The following is a 26,901-nucleotide window of genomic DNA, read 5'->3' on the forward strand; positions in this document are numbered from 1 at the left end:
TCCATTGAAGGTCATAAGAGAAAAGATGGAGGTCCCTGGAGGAAGACGGAATTCTGCCAGGCAATCATCTTCAGACATCAACTCTTCCCTGGCTCTCCAGCCAATGGGCCTGCCCTGAAGATTTCAGACTTGCCAGCTCTCATAATTGCATGATCCAATTCGTTAAAAGAGAGAGAGAGAGAAAGGAGAGAGATATCCTATTTGTTCTGTTTCTCTGGAACACCCTAATATGCTGGTAGACATATGGGCTCCCCAAATGGATTGTAAGTCATGCAGAGGCCGAAACTGAGTTTCCTCCACTTCCATGACCCCAGCAGTGCCTAGCCCATAGCCAGCCACAGAATGGACCCTCAGTAAACGCATGCTGAGTGGACAGCACATGGTCTAGGCCGGGAAGGGGTGAGGTGTAGGAAGCAGGGAAGTGCAGAGGTGCACACCCTGAATGTGAGGGCCTCCTTGAGTTTGCAGCCCAGGTCCCGGGCCCTGCCCGTGTGGTCTGCAGGGAGAAGTCATTGGTCTACATGCAATGACCCTGCCGGCCTCTGGGACTCACACTCCGCAAGCTCAAGGGCCTGGTTGGCACCACGGAAAAATCTTGAAGCGCTCACTTGGCGTGAACAAGGTCTGGGGTTCATGAGAATCAGAACCTTCCAGAACCCTGGGCTGTGCACTGTTATGCTGAAAGGCTGGTGCTCATTTTGGACCGTCAAGCGCAGCCATGAGCAGAAGGAATCCCTCCGAGCATCGTGCCCAGATGGCGGCTCAGCCTTTCCCTTGTAACGCGTGGCCCAGAGGAAGGGGCCGGCGTTGTTCTGCCACAGGGCTGTTCTGCCACAGGGCTGCTCCCCCAGGAAGCCCTAAATGTGCAGACTGTGTGGGAGGAAACAGCCCCCTTGGATTACTGGGCTATAAAACTTCAAATGCATGAAGACTTTGGGTGGTGATCAAAACCCCAGCGCACCCCAGGACCCCACCATGCAAAGCTCGCCCCACCAGATAGTCCCTGAAGGTCCTTGTTTGTCAATACACAGCCCCTGGCTGGGCCTCACATCGGCCCAGATCCTTCCTGGAGCTTTGGTTTTTCTTGAATCCTCAGCAGTCCCCACCCTGCTGCTGTTAGGACAGAACCGCCAAGTCAGGAGCAACAGATAAAAGGGCTTCCCCTGCCCTGGTCCCTGCGCTACAGTGTAGGCTGAGCCAGCCTCATGGCCTGTGCAGCATGTCAAAGACAGCATCCCCATTTCGCCCTGCCCTCCCCTCAGCACCACAAAATACACAAGGCCCAGAAGAGGAGTCCAAATGCCTTCTCGCTGTCCCATGTTCACACGGACGCTGCTTAAGGATTTAAGTACATCTCAGAACACAAGAAGCCATGAGTGAGACTCTTGCTTTGTTCAAAAAGCTGTGTGATGTCCACACAAAACGGAAAACAAGTACGGGCTGCCAGCTCCCTGACAGGGACCCCCTCCCCATCCACGGAGATAAAACAAGCAATCACAGAAGTGGCTGGACCTACGAGCCTCTTCATCAGCTGACAAAATAGCTCTGAGGAACCCAGGAGCGTCACTGGGTGTATTGGGCCATTCTTGCATTGCTATAAAGAAATACCTAAGGTTGCATCATTTATAAAGAACAGGTTTAACTAGTTCCCGGTTCTGCAGGCTGTACAAGCATGGCGCAGGGCATCTGCTCAGCTTCTGGGGAGGCCTCAGGGAGCTTTTACTCATGGCAGAAGGCGAAGCAAGGGCAGGCATGTCACATGGCTAGAACAGGAGCAAGAGAAAGAATGGAGGGGAGGTGTCGCACACTTTTAAACAACCAGATCTCCCAAGCACTCACTATCACGAGGACAAGACCAAGGAGATGGCACTAAACCACTCATGAGAAATCCGCCCGCATGATCCAACCACCTCCCACCAAGCCCCGCCTCCGACAGTGGGGATTGCAATTCAACTCGAGATTTACAGGAGACGACATCCAAACTATTCTGCTGGGGGTGGTGTGCATAGCAGGGAAGGAAGGTAGCGTGGATGCAGAGGTCCCAGCAGGGTCTCGGATGGGGTTGGAAAGGCCTGTTCTCTCCCCTAGGAGTAGCCAGGACAGACCAGGCCTGGATGGGACCTGGAAGACACCTCCTGGTTCCCATTACATTTGCATTGCTCAGCCAAAGACCACAGGCTGGGCAGGGACCTCAGGGTTCTCAGGACCCCATAAAAGAGAAGGCGGAGGAGGAAACAACCTCTGTGCACACCCACAGATGGGGCCTCGGCCAGCATCCAGGCCAGCCCCGCCATGGGGAGGCGGCTTCAGTGCCAGTCAGGGTGACTCCCAGCAGCTCTGGAGCCAGGCCCTGGTAGACCCCTGAGCAAAGGCTGCCCTCCCCGGCCCTACCCAGGGAAATGGGTGGAGGGTGGCTTCCCCACAGAGAGAAGTACCTGGAACAAAAAGGGATTGAGGGACAGGGGCTGTGGGCCCTGTACACACTAGAACCTGCTGTCTTCCTGAAACTCACCCGAGGGACCCCACATTAGGCCTAGTCTTTTACCCAATACCCAGGGAGACAATTCCAGCTACACCCCTCAATCATCCCAGCAGAATCACGGTCAAGCCCGCAGGGAGGTGACCAGGAGCACAGTCCCTAGTGAGAGGAAAGAGCCACAGAATCACCTTTTCCTGAGGAAACAGAACCAAGCTAGGGCAGCGAAAATCCATAGTGAACACGAGCGACGCCCCCAGTGCGAGAACAGAGGATTTGGGAAACACAAAGCAGAAGCAAACAGAAAGAAGAAACACTTGCTGATGCTAGATATGAAACAGAATTGATGAAATAAAGGACAGGAGGGATGGGCTAAGAAGCAGGACAGACCCATTGAAGAGTGCACTGGGGGGTGGGGCGCGGTGGCTCACGCCTGTAATCACAGCACTTTGGGAGGTCGAGGCTGGCGGATCATCTGAGGTCAGGAGTTTGAGACCAGCCTGGTCAACATGGTGAAACCCCATCTCTACTAAAAATACAAAAATTAGCTGGGCGTGGTGGTGGGCGCCTATAATCCCAGCTACTCGGGAGGCTGAGGCAGGAGAATCACTTGAACCAGGGAGGTGGAGGTTGCAGCGAGCTGAGATCATGCCACTGCACTCCAGCCTGGGTGACAGACCAAGACTCCATCTCAAAAAAAAAAAAAAAAAGAGTGCACTGGGGGTCCGGGGTCAGGAAGGGAGGAGAAGCCGAAAGGGCAGAACAGTCAGGTGAGGCAGAGAACAAGAGGGGCGGCAACAGCTCCCTAAAGGGAGAGAGAAGCGGAAAAAGGGCACGGGGGAGAGGTTGCTCAAGAAACAATAACTGAAAGTCTCCCAAAACTAAAATGAAAAAGTCACATGCATTTATAAATCCTCAGACTGACAGGATTCATGGGGCAGTGAACAGGACAGGCAGAACCCACGCCAGCCAGGCAGCAGGAAGGAAGAGCAAAGAAAAACATGAGAGGTTATATCTTCCAGGAGAAAAAGTCGGTGACCTGCTGGATTTGTCTCCTAGGTCTTCCAGAACAAAATGTGGCACTACAAATGGGTGACTTAAAACAGCAAAAATGCATTCTGTCATGGTTCTGGAGGCTACGAATGCAAAATCAAGATACCAGCAGGGCCACGCTCCCTCGGAAAGCTCTAGGAGAGATTCCATTCTATGCCCCTCGTAGCTTCTGGTTTTGCCACTGTCCTCAACTTGTAGACACAACACTCCCAGCTTCTGCCTCCCTGCTCATACAGCCTTCCCCCTGAGTGTCTGCATCTCTGTGTCTCTTCCCCTCTTCTTAGAGGGACATCAATATGTTGGATTAGGGACCCAGCCTACTCCAGTAGGACCTCATCTCTTAACTAATTACATCTGCAATTACCCTAGTTCCAAAGGCATTAGGATTTCAACATCCTTTTAGACGACCCAGTTCAGCCCACCACACCTACAAAAGAACAAAAATAAGATTTTTATCAGGCCTTTCAATAACAACAGGATACAAGAAAACTATGGAGTCATACCTTAGATATTTTAAAGAAAAGCATTTTAACTTAGAACAGTGCATCTGGTTAGATTATTATTTAACACAAAAAAGTAATAGCTCCGGGCTCATATATAGATGGTTTCAAAGAACTTGTTCCATAAAGCACTATTTGAGAAAATTCTTAAAGGGTTTCCTCTGGCAGAAGAAAAAAGACGAATCCAAGAAAAAGATATAAGTAAGGATCAGTATAAAGTTAGCGAAAGAAAGTTTTGTTGTCAAAATTAGCAAGGAGTCAAAAATATTAGGTTCTCAGCAGGGCTTCAGCATGGCTAACTGCAGGCTTCTGGTACTCACCCCCTCCACAACAAAGACCGAAAATAGCGAGTAGATGGTCACACTCTGAACAGATCATCTAAGAGAACGCTAGAATTCAACAGAGAGTGAAAAGAAACACCTAAAGCCAGGAAGGCGAGAAAAGCAAGGCAGCCTGCTTGGCAGGGGTCAGCTGGGATCCTGGAGAGGCTCCCAGTGCAGGGAAAGGGTGAGTGAGTGACCCCCAGAGGTCCACACTTCCACTGCAGACTCCTGCATCCTAGCCACGGGAAAGCCCCTAGACTCTCACAGCCCCAAAGACTTATCTAGGATGCTGCCTACAGACCATGTGATGGCTTTGCTCCAGAGGGGAACTCGTGCCAGGTCCCACCTCACCCCCACCCTAGGCAGCTACAGCAGGGTGTCACAATAAGAGCCTAGCCCTCACCAGACTGCATCCTGGACCCAATAGCCCCTGGATCTCCACATCCCTGGAGCCCCACTGACATCCCCTGCCCACAGATGCTACCATGACTGACGGCTGCCCCCAGGGCTGAAGTGCGAGTCAGTAACAAAGAGCCCACTGCCCCTGGCAGTGATGCTGCCACGCATTTTCATGCACCTTAAAAACAAACCCCCCTGCCCACAGCAGTCACAGATGCCAATGCACACGCAAAGTGTGCACTCCTCAGCCACCTGTGGCTGCTGCCACTGAAAGCTACTTAGCCCTCCCCAGAAGCAGGGCTGCAGCACATCTTGGGCCTGGGGATCACCCCACCTCTGCCCACCACAACGAGGACCTGCAAGCACCACTGGGGGTCTGAGGACAGGTCCACCCAGCCTGGCTCTGCACCCCCAGTGTCCAGGCATGCCAACCAGAGGACTGAGGACTGCCTAGCCTAGTCCCCACCGCTGACACCTGAGCCCTCCTCCCAGGGGCTTCAAGTTAGGCCCATCCAACCTGCCATCCCTGCAACAGTGGGCACCCACCTGCACATGCCACATGCAGGCCTGGCAACTGGCCCACCTAGCATGTTGTAGCCACCACCAACACCAGCACAAACTGCTTGGGAGCCAGAGATTTGTCCTGCCACTGCTACTGCCATCACCCACACTATGCTTGTTGCCTAGGGGCCAAAGAACCTGCCCACCTGCCTGGCCCACCACTACTGGTATCTGAGTAAGCTGCCTGGAGTCCCAAAAATCAGCTCTCTTTAACCTGCTAACACTGGCGCCAGCGTACACATCCCTGAAGCCGAAGGACAGGCACACTTGGCACACTGCTACTACCACTGGGACCTGAGGACAGGCCAACCTGGCATCTTTCCCCCGGCAAAATTTGACCACAGCCTCCACTAATAACCACATCCTAAGCCACTGAGGAAATCAAACACCACTGACACTGTTAGGCCAAAGAAATCACACAGAAACTATGCTACTGTACCCACAATCGAAACCAAAGTGCCCTACTCAACACTACAGATACATCTTCAGAAAAAAGTTCCCACCCATGAAAGCAAATTCAAGAAATTGGAAGAAGTGACTGTTACACTAGATGTGCAGATATCAATGTGAGGAGAAAAAAACATGAAAAAGCAAGGAAATATAACACCACCAAAGGAACACAATAATTCTCCAGCAACAGATCCAAATCAAAAAGAACTTATGAAATCTCAGGGAAAGAAATTCAAAATAATGATATTAAAGAAGGAGAGTAAGATACAAGTGAATACAGAAAAATAGTTCAAAGAAATCAGAAACATAATTCAGGATATGAATGAGAAATTACCAAAGAAATGAGTATCATAAAAAAAGGACCAAATAAAAATTCTAGTACCAAAGAATGCATTAAATAAAATATAAAATACATTTGAAAGCTTCAACGATAAACTAGATCAAGCAGAAAAAGGATTTCAGAACTTGAAGAGAGGTCTTTTGAAATAAACCAGTCAGATAAAAATAAGAAAAAAGAATAAAAATGAACAAGGCTAGGCCAGGTGCGGTGGCTCATGCCTGTAATCCCAGCACTTTGGGAGGCCGGGGCGGGTGGATCACGAGGTCAAGAGTTCAAGATCAGCCTGGTCAAGATGGTGAGACACCATCTCTACTAAAAATATGAAAAAAATTAGCTGGGCATAGTGGTGGGCGTCTTTAATCCCAGCTACTCGGGAGGCTGAGGCAGAGAATTGCTTGTGAACCTGGGAGGCAGAGGTTGCAGTGAGCTGAGATCACACCACTGCACTCCAGCCTCGGCGACAGAGCAAAACTCTATCTTAAAAAAAATGAACAAAGCTTACATGACATATAGGACACTATAAAGTGACAAAATATTCTAATTTTTGGTGTCCCAGAAGGTAAAGAGAAAACTAAAAGAATAGAAAACTTATTTAACAAAATAAGAGCTGAAAAATTTCCCAAGTTTAGCAAGAGATGTATACATCTGGATACAGGAATCTCAGTGACCCCCAAACAAATAAAATGCAAAAAAAGGTCTTTTCTATGTCACATTATAGTCAAACTGTCAAAAATCAAAGACAAAGAGAATTCTAAACACAAGAGGAAAGCATCTAGTCACTTATGAGGGAACCTCAGTCAGACTAACAGTAGATTTCTCAGCAGAAACTTTATAGGCCAGGACAGTGTGGAATAATATATTCACAGAGCTGAAAGAAAAGAAAACTGCTGTCCAAGGAAATGATACTATACCCAGTAAAGTTTTTCTTTATAAATGAATGAGAAATAAAGTCTTTCCCAGACAAGCAAAAGCTAAAGGAATTCATCACCACTAGACCATTCCTACAAGAAATGCTTAAGGCAGTCCCACATTTGGAAGCAAAAGGACAGTATCTACCATAATTAAAATACACAAAAATATAAAAACCCATTGGAAAAGCAAACACACAAATAAGGAAGAGCAAAGACTCAAATATTACTACTACAGAAAATTACCAAACCACAATCATAAATAAGAGAGAAAGGAACAATGGATATACAAAACAATCAGATATCAATTAATAAAATGACAGGAAAATGTATTAACCACTCCACTTAAAAGATATAGACTGAATGAATTTTTCAAATGATCCAACTATATGCTGTATAAATGAAACTCATTTCACCTCCAAAGACACATATTGACCTAAAGTAAAGGGATGAAAAAAGACATCCCACACAAACAGAAACCCAAAACCAAGCAGGATTAGCTACACTCATATCCAATAAAACAGACTTTGAGTCATAAACAGTAAAAAGAGACAAAGAAGGTCATTATATAATGATAAAGGGATCAATTCAGCAAGAAGATATAACAATTCTAAACATATATGCATCCAACACTGGACCACCAGATATATAAGGCAAATATTATTAGATCTAAAGGGAGAGATAGACTTTAATAAAATGATAGTCAGGGATAGGACTGAGTGGCTTAAGGTGGGTCAGTGAGTTTCCCAGAGCTTCAAGCTTTTAAGTGGAGGAGCTCAGAGTCAAGCCCCTCTCCCAGCTCTGCAGGCCTCAAATACAACCACCATCCCACCAGAAACAGGTCCCCCTTGGCTTTGATGTACCACTGAGTTTGAGGGGCTCCTGAGACCCCCAGACATCTCTTCAAGCAACACTACATCTGAAAGTCACACATCTGAGAGGTCCTTAGGGGTATCAGTCTCATTGGAGACAGTGACAGAAGCTGGAGAAAGGCTGGGAGTGCAGCCCCCCAGCAGGAGGTCTCACCGTGGATGGGAAGAGACCTGAACCATCTTCAAATACTCTTACGTGTCCCATTTTAAGAAAATAGAACCAACGTGTTTCCAGCAAATTGAACACACATGGACATTTTTTAATGAACTCCAGTCAGCCCATCTGTCAAAACTGAAGATGCTGGAGAAACCTAAGACTCCTCTAAAGTTACAGCCAAAAAGATGTGATATACCTCCAAGAACTGCACAAGGGATGCTGCTAGCAACACTTCAGTGTTGTGGTCAACAAAGAAGTGGAGTAGAGGAGGAGTTTCTCTCTTGCCCTTCCCTGCGAAGATCGCTTTCCCCAGCATCGTTCCCAAAAATAGCAGCCGAGCTTTTAAAACACACACACTCCAGATCTGTGCTCCTGGGAGAGCTTGTTCAACTCACATCCTGCATGTACACAGAGCTCTAAATAGAGACTCCTAACTCTATAAAGGAATTCCTTTTAAGGAATCCACCCAAATCTGTTAATAACCAATCGTAGAATAAACACCAAAGGATCAAGTGTGTGTGTGTGTGTGTGTGTTTGCACGTGTGCACGCATGCACATCAGTGCATCTAAGTGTGTATGGGGGTGAGGGACCTTCTCCTTCCAGAACCTCCCTCCTCCCACTTGTCCTGCCACTGCTACTGCCTACTCTGTAGCATAAGGGCCTGCAGACCAACAGGAGCCCAGGCAGCAAATATCACTCCTGAGGGCCCAGATAAGACGCTGTCACTCACCACATACCAAAGAAAATGATATATATATAATATACATAATATATTCAAATATATACAAATTTGTATTTGATATGTATACATTAATTTTATATAGTGATTATAGAGATAGATGATATGTTATATATATTCTGTTTCACTGTGCTTACACTATTTTCACTGTAGAAAAGGGACAAATAGAGGCTGCGGCAGGACGGAAGGGTCACTTGCTTTTACACTGTGTAACTTTTTGTGGCTTTGAATTTTGTACTTGAAAAAATTAATTTGTGTGTGTGTGTCCTGCAGGTAAACTGTTGTCTTCTAAAAAATTTCTGCTTGACTTCCTAATCTCCAGCAGGGACCAAAACTTTTTCAGGAGCTCAGCAAGCCCTCCCCTCCCCACCCATCCCCAACACACATGTACTCACACACATGCATGTCACACACCCACACAACACACATGTACTCACACACATGCATGTCACACACACACCCACGCAACACACATGTACTCACACACATGCATGCCATACACCCACACAGCACACATGTATTCACACATGTATGCCACACACCCACACAGCACACATGTACTCACACACATGCATGCCACACACCCACACAGCACAAATGTATGAACACACATAGGCCATACACACCAGACACACACACCACACTGACACACACACACACACACACACATGCATTTGTCAGGAAAGAGCCTTTCACCACCCGCTGAGACCCCTCCCGCAGCATTTCTGAGCCCAGGTGCAGGGCAGGGCTCAGCTGGCCAACCAGGCCAGCATCAGGTCACAATGAACTCGCAGCATGGATAGGAAAGGCCCAAGTCCTCTAAGCCTCAGAATTCAGTGCCACCTAGAGGCTCCTCTGTTGCATGATTTCTCAATTCTGAGTGAAAAGACAGGCCCAGCCACTGGCCTCATGAAACAGGAGGTGGTCCCATGAGCCTGTAATGTCCAAAGAAGGCACTCATATTTCTTATGAGGACTTGAGAGATTGGGGCTGCCTGTCCGAGCTGCTGGCCAGGTCCCCAAGACCTGGAAGTGCTCAGTATCCCCTCGCAATTTTGCCACTCTACTCAGAGTGCAAACTGGTCAATCACTTCTGGAAACTATCTGGCAATATCTATTTGAGTTGAGCATGTGCAGCCCCTCGGCACAGCAGTCACACTCCTGATCTATACCCAACATATATGTGCATATAAAACTCCTGCCCACCCCAGCTCACTGAAATAAGGCCCCTGAAAATCCCAGCCCCTCAGCTGGGCCATTCCCCCTTGCAGGGAAAGGGCTGGAGGAAGCTGGGAGCTCATGTTGCTCCCAGGCCCAGCAGCATCGCAAGTGTGGATGGCTCCCTCCATCCTGCCCCCTCTCGGTCCCCACCCTCTGAAGCAGCGGTTCTTAGCCAGGGATGATTTTGTCCCCTGGGGACATTTGGCAATATCTGGAGACATTTTTGCTTGGCATACCCGGGGAAGAGGATGTACTGGCAGCTGGTGGGTAGAGGCCAGGGGTTCTGTGCAGCATCCTACGGTGCATTGGGCAGCCCCACGTGAAGGAGCATCCGGCTCCAAACGGCAATAGCAATGAAGCCAAGATATTGTGCCTTAAGTTCTCAATGGCGGAAGAGTGGGTGTAAATTATTACTTATTTTAAATAATTGGGCATTTCAGCTAAAGATTTAGAATTAAAAAATTCTATTACAGGAGAATTCAGTTCTAAGGCAGATGCATTTATCTTGCATTTTAAAAGAACAAAGCTGCCTAATGAAAACGGCAGAGTGAGACCATGCACTTCCTGGGCTTTAGATGCATCTTTTTCCCAGCCTGGGAAGCTGTTCCATTCTCCAGCGAACACCACTTACTACCTAATGACTGTTCCCCCATGGACCTGTGAGTGCACTGAAATCCAAAGTTCTTATGCTGGATCACTCAAAGGGATAAAAATACATTTCTACTCATTCTTTTCTTCCCTAAAGGCAATGTCTTGTTTATCCTTCCTTGTCTCTAAATAGATAATTTAATCAAAATGAACTAGCCAGATGATCTACAATAATCAACATTAGCTGTGAAAATTGTTTATGGAACTACTCGCTACCCAGCACAGATGTATTCACATTTCCTTCATAGTGCCTGGATTCTACTAGACATCACAGAAGCACATTCCCTACAAATTAGTGATTATATATATTCATTGTTTTTTTTTTGTTTTGTTTTGTTTTTTTTGCCAAATGCTTTCTAGATTGTTGCCCTATTTGTTGTTTAAGAAATGCTGACCCTTTTCACAAGACAGTGCTGAAAGCGAAGAAAGAAGTTCCTGCCCCTCCTAAAGCCAAAGCCAAAGCAAAGGCTTTAAAGGCCAAGAAGGCAGTGTTGAAAGGTGTTCACAACCACAAAAAAAAGAAGATCCACACGTCCCCCACCTTCCGGCGGCCCAAGACACTGCAACTCCGGAGGCAGCCCAAATATCCTTGGAAGAGCACCCCCAGGAGAAACAAGCTTGACCACTATGCTATCATCAAGTTTCCGCTGACCACTGAGTCGGCCATGAAGAAGACAGGAGACAATAACACACGTGTGTTCATGGTGGATGTTAAAGCCAACAAGCACCAGATCAAACAGGCTGTGAAGAGGCTCTATGATATTGACATGATCAAGGTCAACACCCTGATTTGGCCTGATGGAGAGAAGAAGGCATATGTTCCACTGGCTCCTGATTACGATGCTTTGGATGTTGCCAACAAAATTGGGATCATCTAAACTGAGTCCAGCTGGCTAATTCTAAATATATGTATACCTTTTCACCATAAAAAAAAAGAAATGCTGAAGGCTCCTTTACTGTTTTATATATTAATTCAAGTTGTTCAAATGCAATCCAACTAAATTTTTAATTTGTCTCACTGTTCTCCTCTTAAATAATTAAGTATTATCCTTTGGAAAACTGAGTTTGATAAAAGAAACCAAAATCCAACAACTCAAAATATCTCAGCAGAAACCAACATAAGGAATCAGTATAATCCTCATTGGCTGCCCCCAGAGTCATTTAGGAAATCAACCTCAAAGTAAATGTAATCAATAATTTGCTTTAAATTCAAAAAGATGTGTACATCACAAACTAAAATTCCAAACACTATCAGAAGGTATACAATAAAAAAGGTCTCCCTGTCATCTGATTTCCCAATCTCCCTACTGTCAACAGTTTTTTTGTGTGTTCTTTCAGAAATTCTTTACACGTACAACAAACAATATATATTTTGATAAATTATAGTTGTGCTATATACACATTGTTGCTGCTGGTTGCTTTTTCTTCCTTTTTTCCTGTGGTAAAATGCACATAAAATAAAATGTACCCTCTTAACTATTTTTAAGCGTATAGTTAAGCAGTATTCAGTACATTCACATATTTGTACAGCCATCACCATTATCCATCTCTGGAACTTTTTTTATCTTGCAAAATTGAAACTCTGTACCCATTAAACAACTTCCCATATCTCTCTCCCTCCACCCCCTGGCAACCATCATTCTTTCAGTCTCTATGAATCTGACTACTCTAGATACCTCATATAAGTGGAATCATAGTGTTTGTCTTTTGGGGACTGGCTTATTTCATTCAGCCTAATGTCCTCAAGGTTCATTCATGTTGGAGCGTGTGTCAGAATCTTCCCTTTTGAGGTTGGATAATATTCCATTGTTACATGTAGCACACTTCGCTTATCCGTTCATCACTGACGGACACTTGGATTGCTTCCACCTTTTGGATGTTGTGAATAATGCTGTAAATGTGGTGTACAAATATCTCTTCAAGACCCTGCTTCCAATTCTTTTGGATCTATATCTAGAAGCGGAATTTCTTGATTATATGGTAATTCTATGTTTAATTTTTTTAGAAACTGCCATACTGTTTTGCACAGCAGCTCCAACAAGTTACTTTCCCATCAACCATGCACAAGAGTTCCAGTTTTTCCACATCCTCACCAACACTTGTTATTTTCTGTTTTTGTTACAGTAGGCATCCTAATGGGTGTGAGGTGGTATCTCATTACAGTTTTGATTTGCATTTCCTTAATGATTAATGATGTTGAACATCTTTTCATGTGCTTACCAGCCATTTATACATCTTCTTTACAGAAATGTTTATTCAAGTCCTTTGCCCCTTTTTCAATTGGGTTGTTTGTCTTTTTGTTGTTGATTTTTAGTCCTCTATATATACTGGATATTAATCCCTTCTCAAACATATGATTTGCAAATATTTTCTCCCATTCTATGGGTTGCCTTTTTACTCTGTTGAAAGTGTCTTTTTGATGCACAAAAGTTTCTCACCCTCATGGAGTCCAGTTTGCCTATTTTCTTCTTCTGTTGTTCATGCCTTTTGTGCCTTATCTAAGAAATCCTCACCAAATCCAATGTCATGAAGATTTTGCCCTGTTTTCTTCTAAGACTTTTATAGTTTTCAAAGACATTTAGGTCTTTGATCCAATTTGAGTTAATTTTTGTATATGGTGTTAGAAAAGGTCCAACTCTATTCTTCTGTTTGTGGAGATCCAGTTTTCCCAGCACCATTTGTTGAAAAACCGTTCTTTCCCTGTTGTCTTGTTGATCTGTCCATGTGGGCCCATACAGAATTCCCTCATTCCTTTCATGGCTCAGTCATATTCCATCATATAGAGGTACCATCCCTTTCCAACCTGTCCCCTGCTAAAGCCCTAAATTCCTTTCTACTGTGTTGATTTTGTAAAAATGATAGAGTATACATTTTTATTTATGTGCAGATGTGTGTGTGTGTGTTTGTATATATACACACACACATAAATTCTTGGAAGTAAAATTCTTGGCATAAATTATTTGCAGTAAAAAAAAAAAAAACAAAAAAAACAGATTATTCTGGCTGAAAAGGCAGAATCATCCAACCCACCACCAGATAATCCATTTGTGTTTTTTAAATAAAAATTCATTGTAATAAAATTGAAGCAGTCAAGAGAGACATGAAATGAAAAATGACATTTTCACCTCAGCCCCAGTCATTCTACCCACTGGTTAACAATTCCTTGCAATTTCCTTCCAGAAAGAAATGATTATGCATATACTCAGAAATATGTACTTGTATATTTTTATTTGCATGAGTAGGCAGACTATAGACATTACTATACATCCCAAATATATTCTAGTACTCTGCTTGTTTTGTATGTGTGTGTGTGTCTTCTGGAAAAGTTACACATAATTAGCTTTCTACCAACAGAATTGTATATTAGAAGGAAAGTTTCCTTACGCCAGTGTCATCATGGGAAACCATCAACATTTTAACATTGACAGTTAGATAGGTAAAAAGTATGTCTCAGAGAAAATAGATATTACTTTTCTTAAGAATAATATGGTTTCTGTTCTAGGAGCCAGGAGGTGGGAGGAGAACAAGATGGAAAAACTTTCCATCTTTTTATACTTATTTTCTTGTGAAGGGTCTTTATTTGTCTTTTGCCCAGTTTTTATTATTTTATTGCTTTTTCTTCTGGAATTGTATGTTTTATTTCTTATGGAAATTAGTTAGGCTAGCTGCTATAACAAAAATAGCCAACAAAATATGTGTCTTAAATGAAATAAATGGTTGTTTCTCTCACCTATGACAGTCTGAAGTGAATGTCTCATACTGCTACACATGGCCACTCATATGATACACTAAAATCACATTCAGGTACCCAGGTTCCTTCCATCTTATTTTTCCACCATGACTCAAGATGTTGTTCTCTTCCGCAATGTCAATACTGGGGTAGGGGCACATCTGTGTTCTAGCTATGGAGAAGGGGGAAGAACATGGGCAAGAGTCATACCAACTCCTTCAAACCCCTGGCCCAGAAGTGACCCACATTGCTCTGCTCATATCCTATGGGTTAGAATTTGGTCATATGGCCACATCTAACTGCCAGGACAGCTGAAAGATAGAGTATAGTTGGGCTATGTATTAACTATCTACTCTATTCTGCCTAACAATATTACCACTAATAACTTAGGGCTTAAAACTAAACATTTCTTATCTTACAGAATCTGTGAGTCAGGAGTTTGGTTTGGCTCAACTGGGTCCTTTGCAAGATGGCAGTCAAAGCACTGGCTAGGCTGTAGTCTCATCTGAGGTTTGACTGGGGAAGGATACACTTTCAAGTCCAGGCAGGTTGGCAGAACTCAATTGGACTGGAGGCTTCAACGTCTTGCCTTGTTATCCATCAGCCCTGCCCTGTTATCCTCAGCTCTTAGAAGCCCTCAGTTCCTTGCCATGTAGGGTTTCCTCAAGGCCAATGGGGAGAGAGAAAATCCAGCAAGATGGATATGACAATGCTATATATATAATTACATACACACAATCATGTCAATCCTGATACCTTTTCCATGCACTATTGATTAGAAGTCATATGTCCTACCCATACTCAAGGGGAGGAAGCAACATAAGGGCATGAACACCAGGTACTAGGGATTGTGAAGGCCACCCAAGAGTGCTATGTAGGCCTCTCTAGAATCCCATGACAATTAAAGAAGGAAAATAGATTTCAGTGGATATCTAGCTGTCAGCTTCCACCACAAAATGTGTTGCAAATATTTTTCTTAGCAAAGAAAAATGCTCAGAAAAGTGCTAGGTTGAAAATTGGCTTCATACTTTAATTTGATGGTTATTTTGTGGTTGGTATTTTAAATGTGCTTATGGCATTCTTGACTTACAAAAGCTTTTAGTTTGTGTGAAGTCAAATTTATCAATATTTTCCTTTACTGCTTCTGGATTTTGTTATGATTTATGGCATTTCATGAAAGACCTCCCCTAAGATTATGTGAAATTCCACCCATGTTGGCTCCTAAAATAACTCATATTATTATGGCCAAGCATCCCATTTTTCAGAACGTTTTCTTCACTACCAGGATAATTTGTTTGTATAAACTATTTTGCTGCTGACTTGCTTGAAAGCTATTTGTTCACAGTTTTGCTCATCAGTGACTTTTTAAGGTAAAGAAGTGGGATTTCAGCAAATTATTTTCACCCTTTAGTTTACAATTCTTAGTACAGCTCTAAGATAAGCAATAAAATTTCATGGAAAGCAGCTTTTTTATGCAAAATCAGCATCATTCATGTTGAGTCAACGATACAGTTCTTTCCAGCTCTCTTCGACCTTTCTTCTACAGGGGACACATTTTTGTGGTCTCTCTCAGGTGTTTGCCCTCAGAGGTCACTCTGGTGCTGACTGTTTCCTTCCAAATACAAAACGATGATTGTGCCAATAGGATCCATTTACTTACAATCACTTGCCTCTCAAACAAAGGCTAAATTATTTGGAAATCCCAAAGAAACACAGAGTTTCTTCTTTTCCATCAGCAAATATTCAGTGCACCTTCTACAATGGGCCAAGCACTCTGTGCAAAGTGGGTAGCTGCTGGCAAAAAAAAAAAAAAAAAAAAATACCCCCTTTCAAAATTGCCACCAGGAAAGGCGACTCATCTTTTAGTTCTACAGATTCTACATTTGTGATAATATTCCAATAGTCTTCAGATGACCAAGTAGCATCAAGACCTTCCAGCATGGTCACCTAGAGCCCTTGTGACTAGACTAGACAGAAAAAAGATGGAAGGGAGGGGAGGGGCCGACCCATGCATCCCTGCATCAGCCACAGTTTTTCAATCTGCAATACCCAGTGTTTTGCCAGGCCCTTCAGAACTGATCTCCATAAGTACTTGTGTAGCAGGTATCAGTCTCTGTCAGTGAATGGAGGTGTGTGAGAAATTCAGCTCTGTGCATTCCTCCATAGCATGGCTTAATTTCCACCATAAGCCCTCACCCTATCAATGGCAGAGGCTAAAGCTCAGTCCACTGGCCGAGCTGCAGCTGAGGTTTAGGGGACTTGCCTCATTCTTGCCTTGGGGAGGGGCTGAGGTGAGCCGAGGGGGTTGATATCCATGCCTGCCCCTCTGAGGAGACCTCATTGCCATCGATCCTGGTGAGGCACCCCCACTCCCCCATTGAAGGCCCCCACAGTCCTGAACTGTCTCTGCATGTGCTGGCAATGGGTCCCTCACATCTGCCTCCCCACCCAGTGTCTGTGCACAGCTGTTCTTTCTGACAGCCCTGGAAATGGAAAGCCTAGACCTGACCCCAGTTGATTCTCTTTCTGCTGTCCCATCTCTTCCCTGAGACAACCAAACCCTTCCCAAGTGAAAGGTTAGAGGGCAAAAAGGGAAGCACCAATTGGCATTTCCAAGTAATACCCACCACGCCAGTCCACAAGGCTGGAGGGCAACCAGAAGATTCAGACCCAAGACACAAATGGACCATCAACCGATCATAGTGCAGGAAAGGCCTTCTTAAAAAGGAAGCTATAAATTGCTCCTTAACACTGCAAGGCAAGGTAAGCCTTGATTTAGATAAGTATGATTAAAGCAGCTTTCAGGAGACACTAAAAGCTTATGACTTTAATTATAATACAGGCTCATATTAACAAAGACACCCAAAATAATACTGATTTAAACAAGAAAACCTTTTATTTTCTCTTACAGAGCTGCACAAGTTCAGTTTCCTTCTATCTCCTTGTCCTGCCACCTAGGCTGCAGGCCTGCAGGTAGGAGTGGGGAAAAGGGAAGGGGCCTGTTCCCCTGGGGGCCACAACCCAAAAGGTGCCTGAATGCTTTCCTTCCCTCCCCGGGGCCATTCCTGGCCACAAGGGAAGATGGGAAAGGCAGCCCTTATGTTGCCGAAAACTGTGGCTGCTTTAACTACAGAGAAGGAACAAATAAAGATTAAAGAACAAGGAGCAATATTTGTCACTCTTATATAATAAAACAGCTAAACAGTTCTATATCCATTCTCCAATGCCCAGCTCCAGCATCACCAACACCGTTAGTTCTCTGAACTAACAGTGATTCCTTCCATCTCCAAACTTTATCTGTACCATTCATGTGATGATTACCCTCACATGGCCTGTCTCCCACAGGCTGACCCCTGAATCTCCTCTACATCCAGCGTGACAGCGCCCACCTCCGCTAAGGGGGCTCCGCTTTCCTGCCTAGCTCCTTCAGTTTCTTGCCGCGAAAATGGTCTTTGTATTGCACTTTGTGGCTGACAGACACCGTCCGTTACCTCTCAGCATTGTTTCAATACACACACATTAACACACACTCGCGCACACACACACGTACACACTCGCACACACTCCCACATGTACACATATACACGCACACCCACACATGTACACAGTCACACACAAACTCACTAACACAAACATGTATACATTCACTAACACACACAAACTCACGAACACGTGCTAACATGTACACACTAATACACTCATACATACACACGAACACATTCACACACACATGCACATTCACTAACATGTACACACTCACACATTCACACATGCACACCTACTAACACATGTATATACTAACACACTACATGTACATTCACTAACACACACGTGTACACACACGCACTCAGTAACACACATGCACACTAACACACATGCACACTAACACATACATGCACATTCACTAACACACTCACACTGTAGCAGGACAAGCTGCAGACAAAACCTCTCAGACACTGAGTTAAAGAAGGAAGGGCTTTATTCGGCCGGGAGCTTCGGCAAGACTCACGTCTCCAACAACAGAGCTCCCCGAGTGAGCAATTCCTGTCCCTTTTAATGGCTCACAACTCTAAGGGGGTCCGCATGAGTGGGTCGTGATCGTGAGAGGGTCGTGATGGATTGAGCAAGCAGGGGGTACGTGACTGGGGGCTGCATGCACCAGTAATTAGGACGGAACAGAACAGGATGGGGATTTTCACAGTGCTTTTCTATACAATGTCTGTAATCCACAGATAACATAACGCATTAGGTCAGGAGTCGATCTTTAACTACCAGGCCCAGGGGGTGGCACCGGGCTGTCTGCTTGTGGATTTCATTTCTGCCTTTTAGTTTTTACTTCTTCTTTCTTTGGAGGCAGAAATTGGGCATAAGACAATATGAGGGGTGGTCTCCTCCCTTAACACACATACACACTAACACACACACATACACATGCACACACTTCTTTACTAACAGAGCCCCAGTGTGTTCCGAGGCAGTGGAGAGGACGCCCCTACCCAGCACTGTGGTGAGCCATGATTGGTCTAGACCAGATGTGGCCATTTGTTTTCCCTTTGCTGTCCAGAGATGGCCACATGACCCATGTCTGGCTAGTGAGATGTAAGTGGATGTTCTCTGCAGGGACCTTCTAGGAAACCTCTTGCTTTTGCACCAACAGGGGTCAGCCTGGGCTGGCATCACCTTTCCCCTACCTTTCCCCTTCCTCCAGCTTCAGTCTTGGAGGTCTCGGTTCCTGGAGGTGCAGCTGCCTCTGCAGCTATGAGGGGATCAGGCGACCAGATGGAGATTGTGGAACCGAAAGAGCAGTGGGACCAGGTCCTTGATAACCTTGTTGAGCCCCTGCAGCATCCCGGGACTGTCCACTCCAGACTTCTGGACAAATATGACCATTCAATTATTCAGTGCTAGAAAAGAAATGAGCTGTGGAGCCACGAAAAGGCGTAGAGGAACCTCAAATGCACACTGCTAAGGGAAAGAAGCCAGTCTGAAAAAGCTACACGCTGCGTAAGTCCAACCATGTGACATTCAGGAAAAGGCAAAACTATGGAGACAGTGAAAAGTCAGTGGTTGTCAGGGGTTAAGGGGAGGAAGGGATAAATAGGTGGAGCACAGAGGATTTTTAGGGCAGTGAAACTGTTCCGTATGATGCTACAATGGTGGATCCATGTCATTACACGTTTGTCCAGGCCCGTAGAACATACAACCCCAAGAGTGAGCCCTGTGTAAACTCTGGCTCTGGTGAATCCATGTCATTACACGTTTGTCCAGGCCCGTAGAACATACAACTCCAAGAGTGAGCCCTGTGTAAACTCTGGCTCTGGTGAATCCATGTCATTACACGTTTGTCCAGGCCCGTAGAACATACAACTCCAAGAGTGAGCCCTGTGTAAACTCTGGGCTCTGGGCGACGGTGATGCACCAATGCAGGTTCATCCATTGTAACAAATGTACCCTCTGGTGGAGGATGTTGATAATGGCGGAGGCTGTGCATGTGTAGGGGCTGAGAAACCTCTGTACCTTCCACTCAATTTTGCTGTGAACCTAAAACTTCTCTAAAAAGTAAAGTCTATGAATTTAAAATATATACGCATATATATATATATATATATATATGACTATTCATGTTATTTGTTTCTGCCTCTGCAGTCAGGAGACACTTGCAACCATGTACACTTCCAACAGATACCATCTGCCTTCCTGCCACTTCTCATCCACCCCATTGTGAACTCACAAAACACATCCCAATTCCTTCCCAAGCTGAAAATCCGGAAAACAAACCACCTGTGTCCACCAGCATGCCACTGCCTCTGGTGCACCCACATTGCCTTCATGGCCCTGACACGGACTTGGGTTTGATGGACCTGGGAGTCAGTTGGCCCCAGGCCGGATGGCCCCCACTCAGGTCCTGTGTGTGCACATGAGTCCAAGAGACCCTGGGCTCAATTCTCAGCTGAAACCTGAACTCTGCAGGATGGGTCAGTCATCTGCCGCAGGCATTTGCCAGGCCTGGCTCACTGAGTCATAACGAGGTTAGTTATGTGACTGTCAGCCCTGGAGGGCAGGCAGAGGCTGCTCACATCCCTTTGTGGGGCCTTAGGGCTTCACGCTGGACCTGGACCCACACAGGAATTCCCTTAGTGTTTCTTTTTCTTTTTTTTTCTTTTTTTTTTTTTAAGAGAAGGGGTCTCACTGTGTTGTCCAGGCTAGTTTCAATCTCCTGACCTCAAGTGACCCACCCTCCTCGGCCTCCCAAAGTGCTGGGATTACAGGTGTGAGCCACAGCACCCAGCCTCAAACGGTCTTTTCTTTGTGACAGCATCCAGTCTCCTAGAATCCAGCTCCCAGCTATCCATGAAAACCCTCATGGCCTCGGCTGGAAGAAGAGAGCTGGCAGCAGATCAGACAGAAAGCACCAGACAGAACCCTAAGGCCATCACCTCCCACACTCCTGAGTCAGCAGAGGTCGCAGATAAAACCTGCCTGGAGAGGGCCCTCTGCCTGTGGGCTCTTAGCTCTCAGCTCTCAGCTCTGCAGCCTGGAAGGAAACCCAGGAGGTGTGAGTTGATGATTGCAGAGAAGAGAGCTGGGAGGTCAGCCCCTCCAAAGGTGCCTGCCCAGAGCGCGTGGGGTCACATATGGAAACCATTTCTGGGGAGGGAGAGCGGGAATCTGGAAATGAGGCCACACCAGGGGGTCCGGCCATGAATACAAGAAGGAAAGCCTTGTTGAAGGGAGGCCCATGGCAGACACAGCTCAGTGGAAGGAGGAAAATACTCAGCATTCCAACAACTTCTAGTAAGAAATCTTAAAAAAACGGAGAAATCCACGCGCTTGTGGTTTTAATCAATGCAACAACGCAACAGGAGGCTGGCTCAGAGCAACGCGAGGATGAGGCAGGGCCCAGAACACTGAGGCCTAAATGTGGAGCACACCAGTGTGGACATGAAAAACTGGCAGTGTGATCTGAGACCACTCAGTGGCCCCTTTAAGTGGTGACAATTTCCACCCAGAAGAAACGGGTGACAATTTTGAGATCCTGATTCAATAGGTTCCCCACAGATCAGTTTCTCCTCGGAGAACAGAACCTCCTGAATCTTAAGAATATTAATATCTCCAGGGCTGAATGTCCCAGCACTACTGATAAAGAACAGCCTCTTCCAGGAAAAGGAGCAGTTTTTTATCTTTGCTAATAACCAGCCAGTCTCATAAAAACTGGGAGGGAAAAAAAATCCTTAAAAATATTTACTTAAAAAACAATCAATAGACACACTAAAAAGCTCATGCATACTGATTTCTTTGATGTGTTTTTAATTGCTTAAGGGTCTTTGTAGAAAAATGAGCAAAGAGCATTATTTATACATTTACATATTTAGAAGAGAGCAGGTTAAAAACTCCAACTTCACCAGCAGCAGCAAAGAACCTTTGTTGAGCAATACTGTCCCCTTGTGTCCAATCTTCACTTAATGCTTTCCTAAGTTAAGTACAGCTGCTTGATGGGACATTCTGCAGTAGTAAACGACTTCTACATTTTGCTGCCCTTTAAGACTTGCATTCCTGCAGGAAACATGCATATGCAATACCAATTCTAAGTAAGGGGAAATCTGATTTAAGAAAATTGGCCTCAGGTATTCATGATGGAGTTCACAGCATGGGAAAATGTGGGCCATCGATGTGGTGAAGAAAGCCTCACTTCCATCCCAGCTTTTTCACTGTTCCCCACGAGTAAGTAAGTGAACGGCAAATGTGCAAGGGAGTTAAAGTGTAAATTCCTCCCGGCCCATATAATTGACTTGCTGAATTTTTGCAGTAACAAAAGACTGCTGTTCAAAACATTTCCAGTGACATTTTAAGACTACCTATAAAGAGAAGTTCGGGCCGGGCGCAGTGACTCACGCCTGTAATCCCAGCACTTTTGGAGCCGAGGCGGGCGGATCACGAGGTCAGGAGATCGAGACCATCCTGGCTAACACGGAGAAAGCCCGTCTCTACTAAAAATACAAAAAATTAGCCGGGCGTAGTGGTGAGCGCCTGTAGTCCCAGCTACTCGGGAGGCTGAGGCAGGAGAATGGCATGAACCCGGGAGGCGGAGCTTGCAGTGAGCCGAGATCTGGCCACTGCACTCCAGCCTGGGCGACAGAACAAGACTCCGTCTCAAAAAAAAAAAAAAAAGAAAAGAAAAGTTCGCGTTGGTCATTTTTGTGCTGTTTATGATGTATAATCATTGGCACTGTCCCCACAGTGTCTTAATCCTGATATTCAGCAAATATTTATCCAACAGGGGTTTACTTATTTATTTTTGAGACAGATTATTATTTATTTATTTATTTATTCACTCGTCACCCAGGCTGGACTGCAATGGCGTGATCTTGGCTCACTGCAACCTCTGCTTCCCAGGTTCAAGCTATTCTCCTGCCTCAACCTCCTGAGTAGCTGGGATTACAGGCACCACGCCCAGCTAATTTTTGTGTTTTTAGTAGAGACAGGGTTTCGCCATGTTGGCCATGCTGGTCTCGAACTCCTGACCTCAAGCGATCCACTCACCTCAGCCTCTCAAAGTGCTGAGATTACAGGCATGAGCCACTGCACCCATCCAAACCATTGTGCTCTTTTCTGTATGCGGGACTTGGGAAAGGTGGGACACTCTGGAGATTCCTGCCTCAAGCCACATTCTCCTCTGCAAGATGGCTAAAATATTTTGTGCTTTGTGAAAGAGCAGAATCTGTTTTGTACCTAAGGCCTCTGGTCTCTAAATCCTAAAATCTCTCCGCTGGGGTCCCCTGAAGTGTCTGGTACTTACTGCTCTTCTCGCTGTGCCTAATTAAGATGATCTGGATTCGCATGACAGGAACATATGGTAATTAAGTACCAAAATCTCACAAAAGCACCAGAAATCAAAAATAGATTTTTCTAGTAAAGTCAGAATTAAAATCCCTATTTTTTTAAGTCTTCTTAAAGAGACATACATACCATAAAAGTTCTAGCAAAGAATTTATAAACCGAAATGTAGAATGACTTCACATATAATCTGCAAATCAGGCTGCTGTGTGACCTACTTCTATTCCCATTTTATGAGTAGGAAAACTGAGGTAAAAAAAAAAAAAAAACAGGGTTTGAGTACTACTTGCAAGTCACCGGCATCAGTCTCCCATGTATACCCACAGTCAGACGTCACCACAGCCTGTGGCCACCAGCTGCAGAACTCCATAATATTTGTGAGCCCAAATTACACAGCAGGTGGCCCCAGGTAGAGGGGCACAGCCCTTCATCTAGAGGAACTGCAATACCACAGGGCTGGATGAGCTGGCTCAAGATTTTCTGCTTGCAACGTGGCTGTGTACTATTATGCTATAGGTGACTTTGTCTGTTTCTACCTGCCTGGAGATACAGGAAAATGCTCATGCTTCACACCCAGAACCCTCAGGAGAGCCGCATGGACTCCTCAGAGCCTCCAGGTTTCCAACCAGGTAGGAGGAGACTCAGACATCTTTTGTGAGTGAGGGTACCCGATGGAGGGGAGGAAGGCCTAGAGAGGGATGCAATCATCCTCATCATTCCCAGTTTTCTGCCAGAGCCTGGGGACACAGGAAGGCAGGAAGACTCGGGGCTATCTAAATCCAAGTTCAAATCCTGACTCAGTTACTCACTAACTGGTGATGGATACATTAGTTCCCTGATCTGCAGTTTTCTCAATCATGAAAAGGAGGTAATACTTAGCTTGGAGCCAAGCCACCAAGTTAGGGGTGGTTTAACGAACAGCAAAATAACCATAAAAACCTCCTGCACAATCTTCTATGTTTGCCCCTTCCCCATCTGCAGAGAAAAAACTCTGAAGATCTGGGGGAGGGAAGAGCTAAAACATGAAAAAAGCCTAGTCCCTGCGTGACTGTGTGGAGCAGGGTGTCCCTTTTTCTCCCCCACCACCCCCCAAATCACGCAGAAATACAACATGAGCAAGGAATAACTTGGATTGTGTCAAGGCCCTGAAATTTGAGGATACTTTGTTATAGCAGTCGGTCTAGTTGCTTAAACACGAGTGTTAAACACATCTAAAATGCCTAGAGCTTGGCCCATAGTAGGAACTCGATTAAAGTAGAGCTTTTCCCGACTTGCTGATGACAAAGTGAGCAGACAACCAACCAGCATTTCTGAGAGTGAGAACATCTCTCACAGAATCTTTCCAAGCCTAGGCCACTCCCCTCTCAACCTGTTCTACACGCCTGAAGTGATTTCTGCCAGCCCTGACTGCTGTCTGTCCCAAAAGGAATAGAACTTTCTGAAATCCTGGAAATGTTCTGTATCTTCACTGTCCAATAGCCTTGTGAGGCTACTAAGCACTTGTACTATAAATATGGCAAGAACCTGGAGGAACTAACATTTTATTTTAATTCTAAGTAATTTGAGTATAAGTGCCACATATGACCAGCGGCTACTGTACCGCACAGCTCAGTCTTAGAGACCACATGGTTCATTACAAGCATCAGACTCATCCCAAGCAAGGACAGCCCAACGTTAATTAAACTAAGCAGATCAAGAGCTGCCAGATCACATGGGTAGTATCCAGAACGACCTCCATATAAGATGCCAACACCTAGCCGGGATTATGGAGTTAAGACAAATATTTGTTTTTACACTTTTATAAAGCAAACAGCCCTGATTGGACATCAACCCAAGTTACAGCTGAGCCCTTCTCTATTTATTAGGTAATTGTGTCTAAACTATGTTTTTGTTTCTCTCTTCATTGTTCCATATGTCACATGCCCACCCACAATACACACACAAACACACTCCCATGAGTCAAACCCTACACGCTCAGTGCTTTGATGTTTCAGCCTCTGCCATCTGCTCTGCAGCTGGCTATCATGAGGGCTGCAGCTTGGAGCTGCTGGAAAATAGAAACTTGCTCACTGATGAAGAGATTGGGGACGGTCTGACAGCACGGCATCCTTCATCAGAGCCATGGCCTGTGTGGCCTTCCTGGGCTGGCTCAGGGCAGGATCTGCTTCTCAGGGACTAGAGCAATGGCAAGATTTTACTTTCTTTAAAAACAACTGGTTACCAGCTATGAAGCAGAAGGCTCTTCTCTTTGCATTTAGCAAAGAGTCATTGATGCTTTCAGCTTGTCTTGTGTGCTAAGCATGTATAGAAACTGTTGCAGGCAGTGGCATAGTCACTGTTCCAGGTAGTGATGTCTTGAGGACGAGCAGCACAGACTGGGTGTCCACTTTCGTGAACCTTTGTCCTGGGGTAAGGGGCGGGACTGACAACAAACAAGCAAACAAATAATGAATTCAAGGCAGCGATTACAATGAAAATAAAGTTGGCCAGTGTGACAGAGAATGACTGGGTCAGGTGGGAAGATCAAGGTGCTGGAAGGACTGGTGTCCTCTGTGGCCTCTGTCCTTATGATATGGTTTGGATTCGCGTCCCTGCCCAAATCTCATGTTGAATTGGAGGAGGGACCTGGTGGGAGGTGATTGGATCATGGAGACAGATTTCCCCCTTGCTGGTCTCATAATAGTGAGTGAGTTCTCACAATATCTGATCATTTAAAAGTGTGTGGCACCTCCCCATTCTCTCTCTCTCTCTGTCCTGCTCTGCCATGGTAAGACGTGCTTGCTTCCCCTTCACCCTCCACCTTGATTCTAAGTTTCCTGAGGCCTCCCAGTCACGCTTCCTGTACAGCCTGTGGAACTGTGAGTCAATTAAACCTCTTTTCTTCATAAATTACCCAGTCTCAGCTAGTTCTTTATAGCAGCGTGAGAACAGACTAATATAAAAAAATTGGTACCAGGAGAGTGGGGTACTGCTATATAAAGATACCTGAAAATGTGGAAACAACTTTGGAACTGAGTAATAGGCAGAGGTCGGAACAGTTTTGAGGGCTCAGAAGAAGACAGGAAGATGTGGGAAAGTCTAGAACTTCCTAGAGACTTGTTGAGTGGTTTTGACCAAAATGCTGACACTGATATTGACATGGTTTGGCTCTGTGTCCCCACCCAAATCTCATCTCCAATTGTAGTCCCCACATGTTGAGGTGGGGGGTCCTGGTGGGAGATAACTGGATCATGGGGGCAGATTTGCCCCTTGCTGGTCTCATGATAGTGAGTGTGTTCTCATGAGATCTGATTATTTAAAAGTGTGTGGCACCTCCCCATTCTCTCTCTCTCCTGCTCCACCATGGTAAGACGTGCTTGCTTCCCCTTCACCTTCTGCCACGATTCTATGTTTGAGGCCTCCCAGTCATGCTTCCTGTACAGCCTGTGGAATTGTGAGTCAACTAAACCTCTTTTCTTCATAAATTACCCAGTCTCAGCTAATTCTTTAGAGCAGTGTGAGAATGGACTCATACCTTGGCTGGCAGATGGCCATGCCCTTGCTGTTTCCATGATTATCCCTTTGTGTCTCTTCCTCTTCTTACAAGGAACGCCACTCATATTGGGTGAGGGCCTACCCCAATGGCCTCATTTGAACTTAATCACCCTTTTATAGACTATCTCCAAATATTGTTACAGTTTGAGCTACTA

The 26,901-nt window shown here is 45.3% G+C and overlaps 1 pseudogene, besides 2 other annotated features; it reads left to right on the forward strand.

The window, feature by feature from the left end:
- Positions 9,508 to 9,567: a silencer, noted in NCBI's record as "silent region_13318". NCBI's record gives its function as "represses an Ori minimal core promoter by ATAC-STARR-seq in GM12878 lymphoblastoid cells {active_cell/tissue: GM12878}" and the evidence as "EXISTENCE:reporter gene assay evidence [ECO:0000049][PMID:35858748]".
- On the forward strand, positions 11,040 to 11,574 carry RPL23AP12 (ribosomal protein L23a pseudogene 12; annotated as a pseudogene).
- Positions 20,726 to 21,633: an enhancer, noted in NCBI's record as "H3K27ac-H3K4me1 hESC enhancer chr21:40509167-40510074 (GRCh37/hg19 assembly coordinates)". NCBI's record gives its function as "activates a minimal SCP1, AML or CMV promoter by ChIP-STARR-seq in naive H9 embryonic stem cells {active_cell/tissue: H9 hESC(naive)}" and the evidence as "EXISTENCE:reporter gene assay evidence [ECO:0000049][PMID:30033119]".

The sequence above is a fragment of the Homo sapiens genome, chromosome 21, assembly GCF_000001405.40.
Source record: "Homo sapiens chromosome 21, GRCh38.p14 Primary Assembly".
Lineage (NCBI taxonomy): Eukaryota > Metazoa > Chordata > Mammalia > Primates > Hominidae > Homo > Homo sapiens.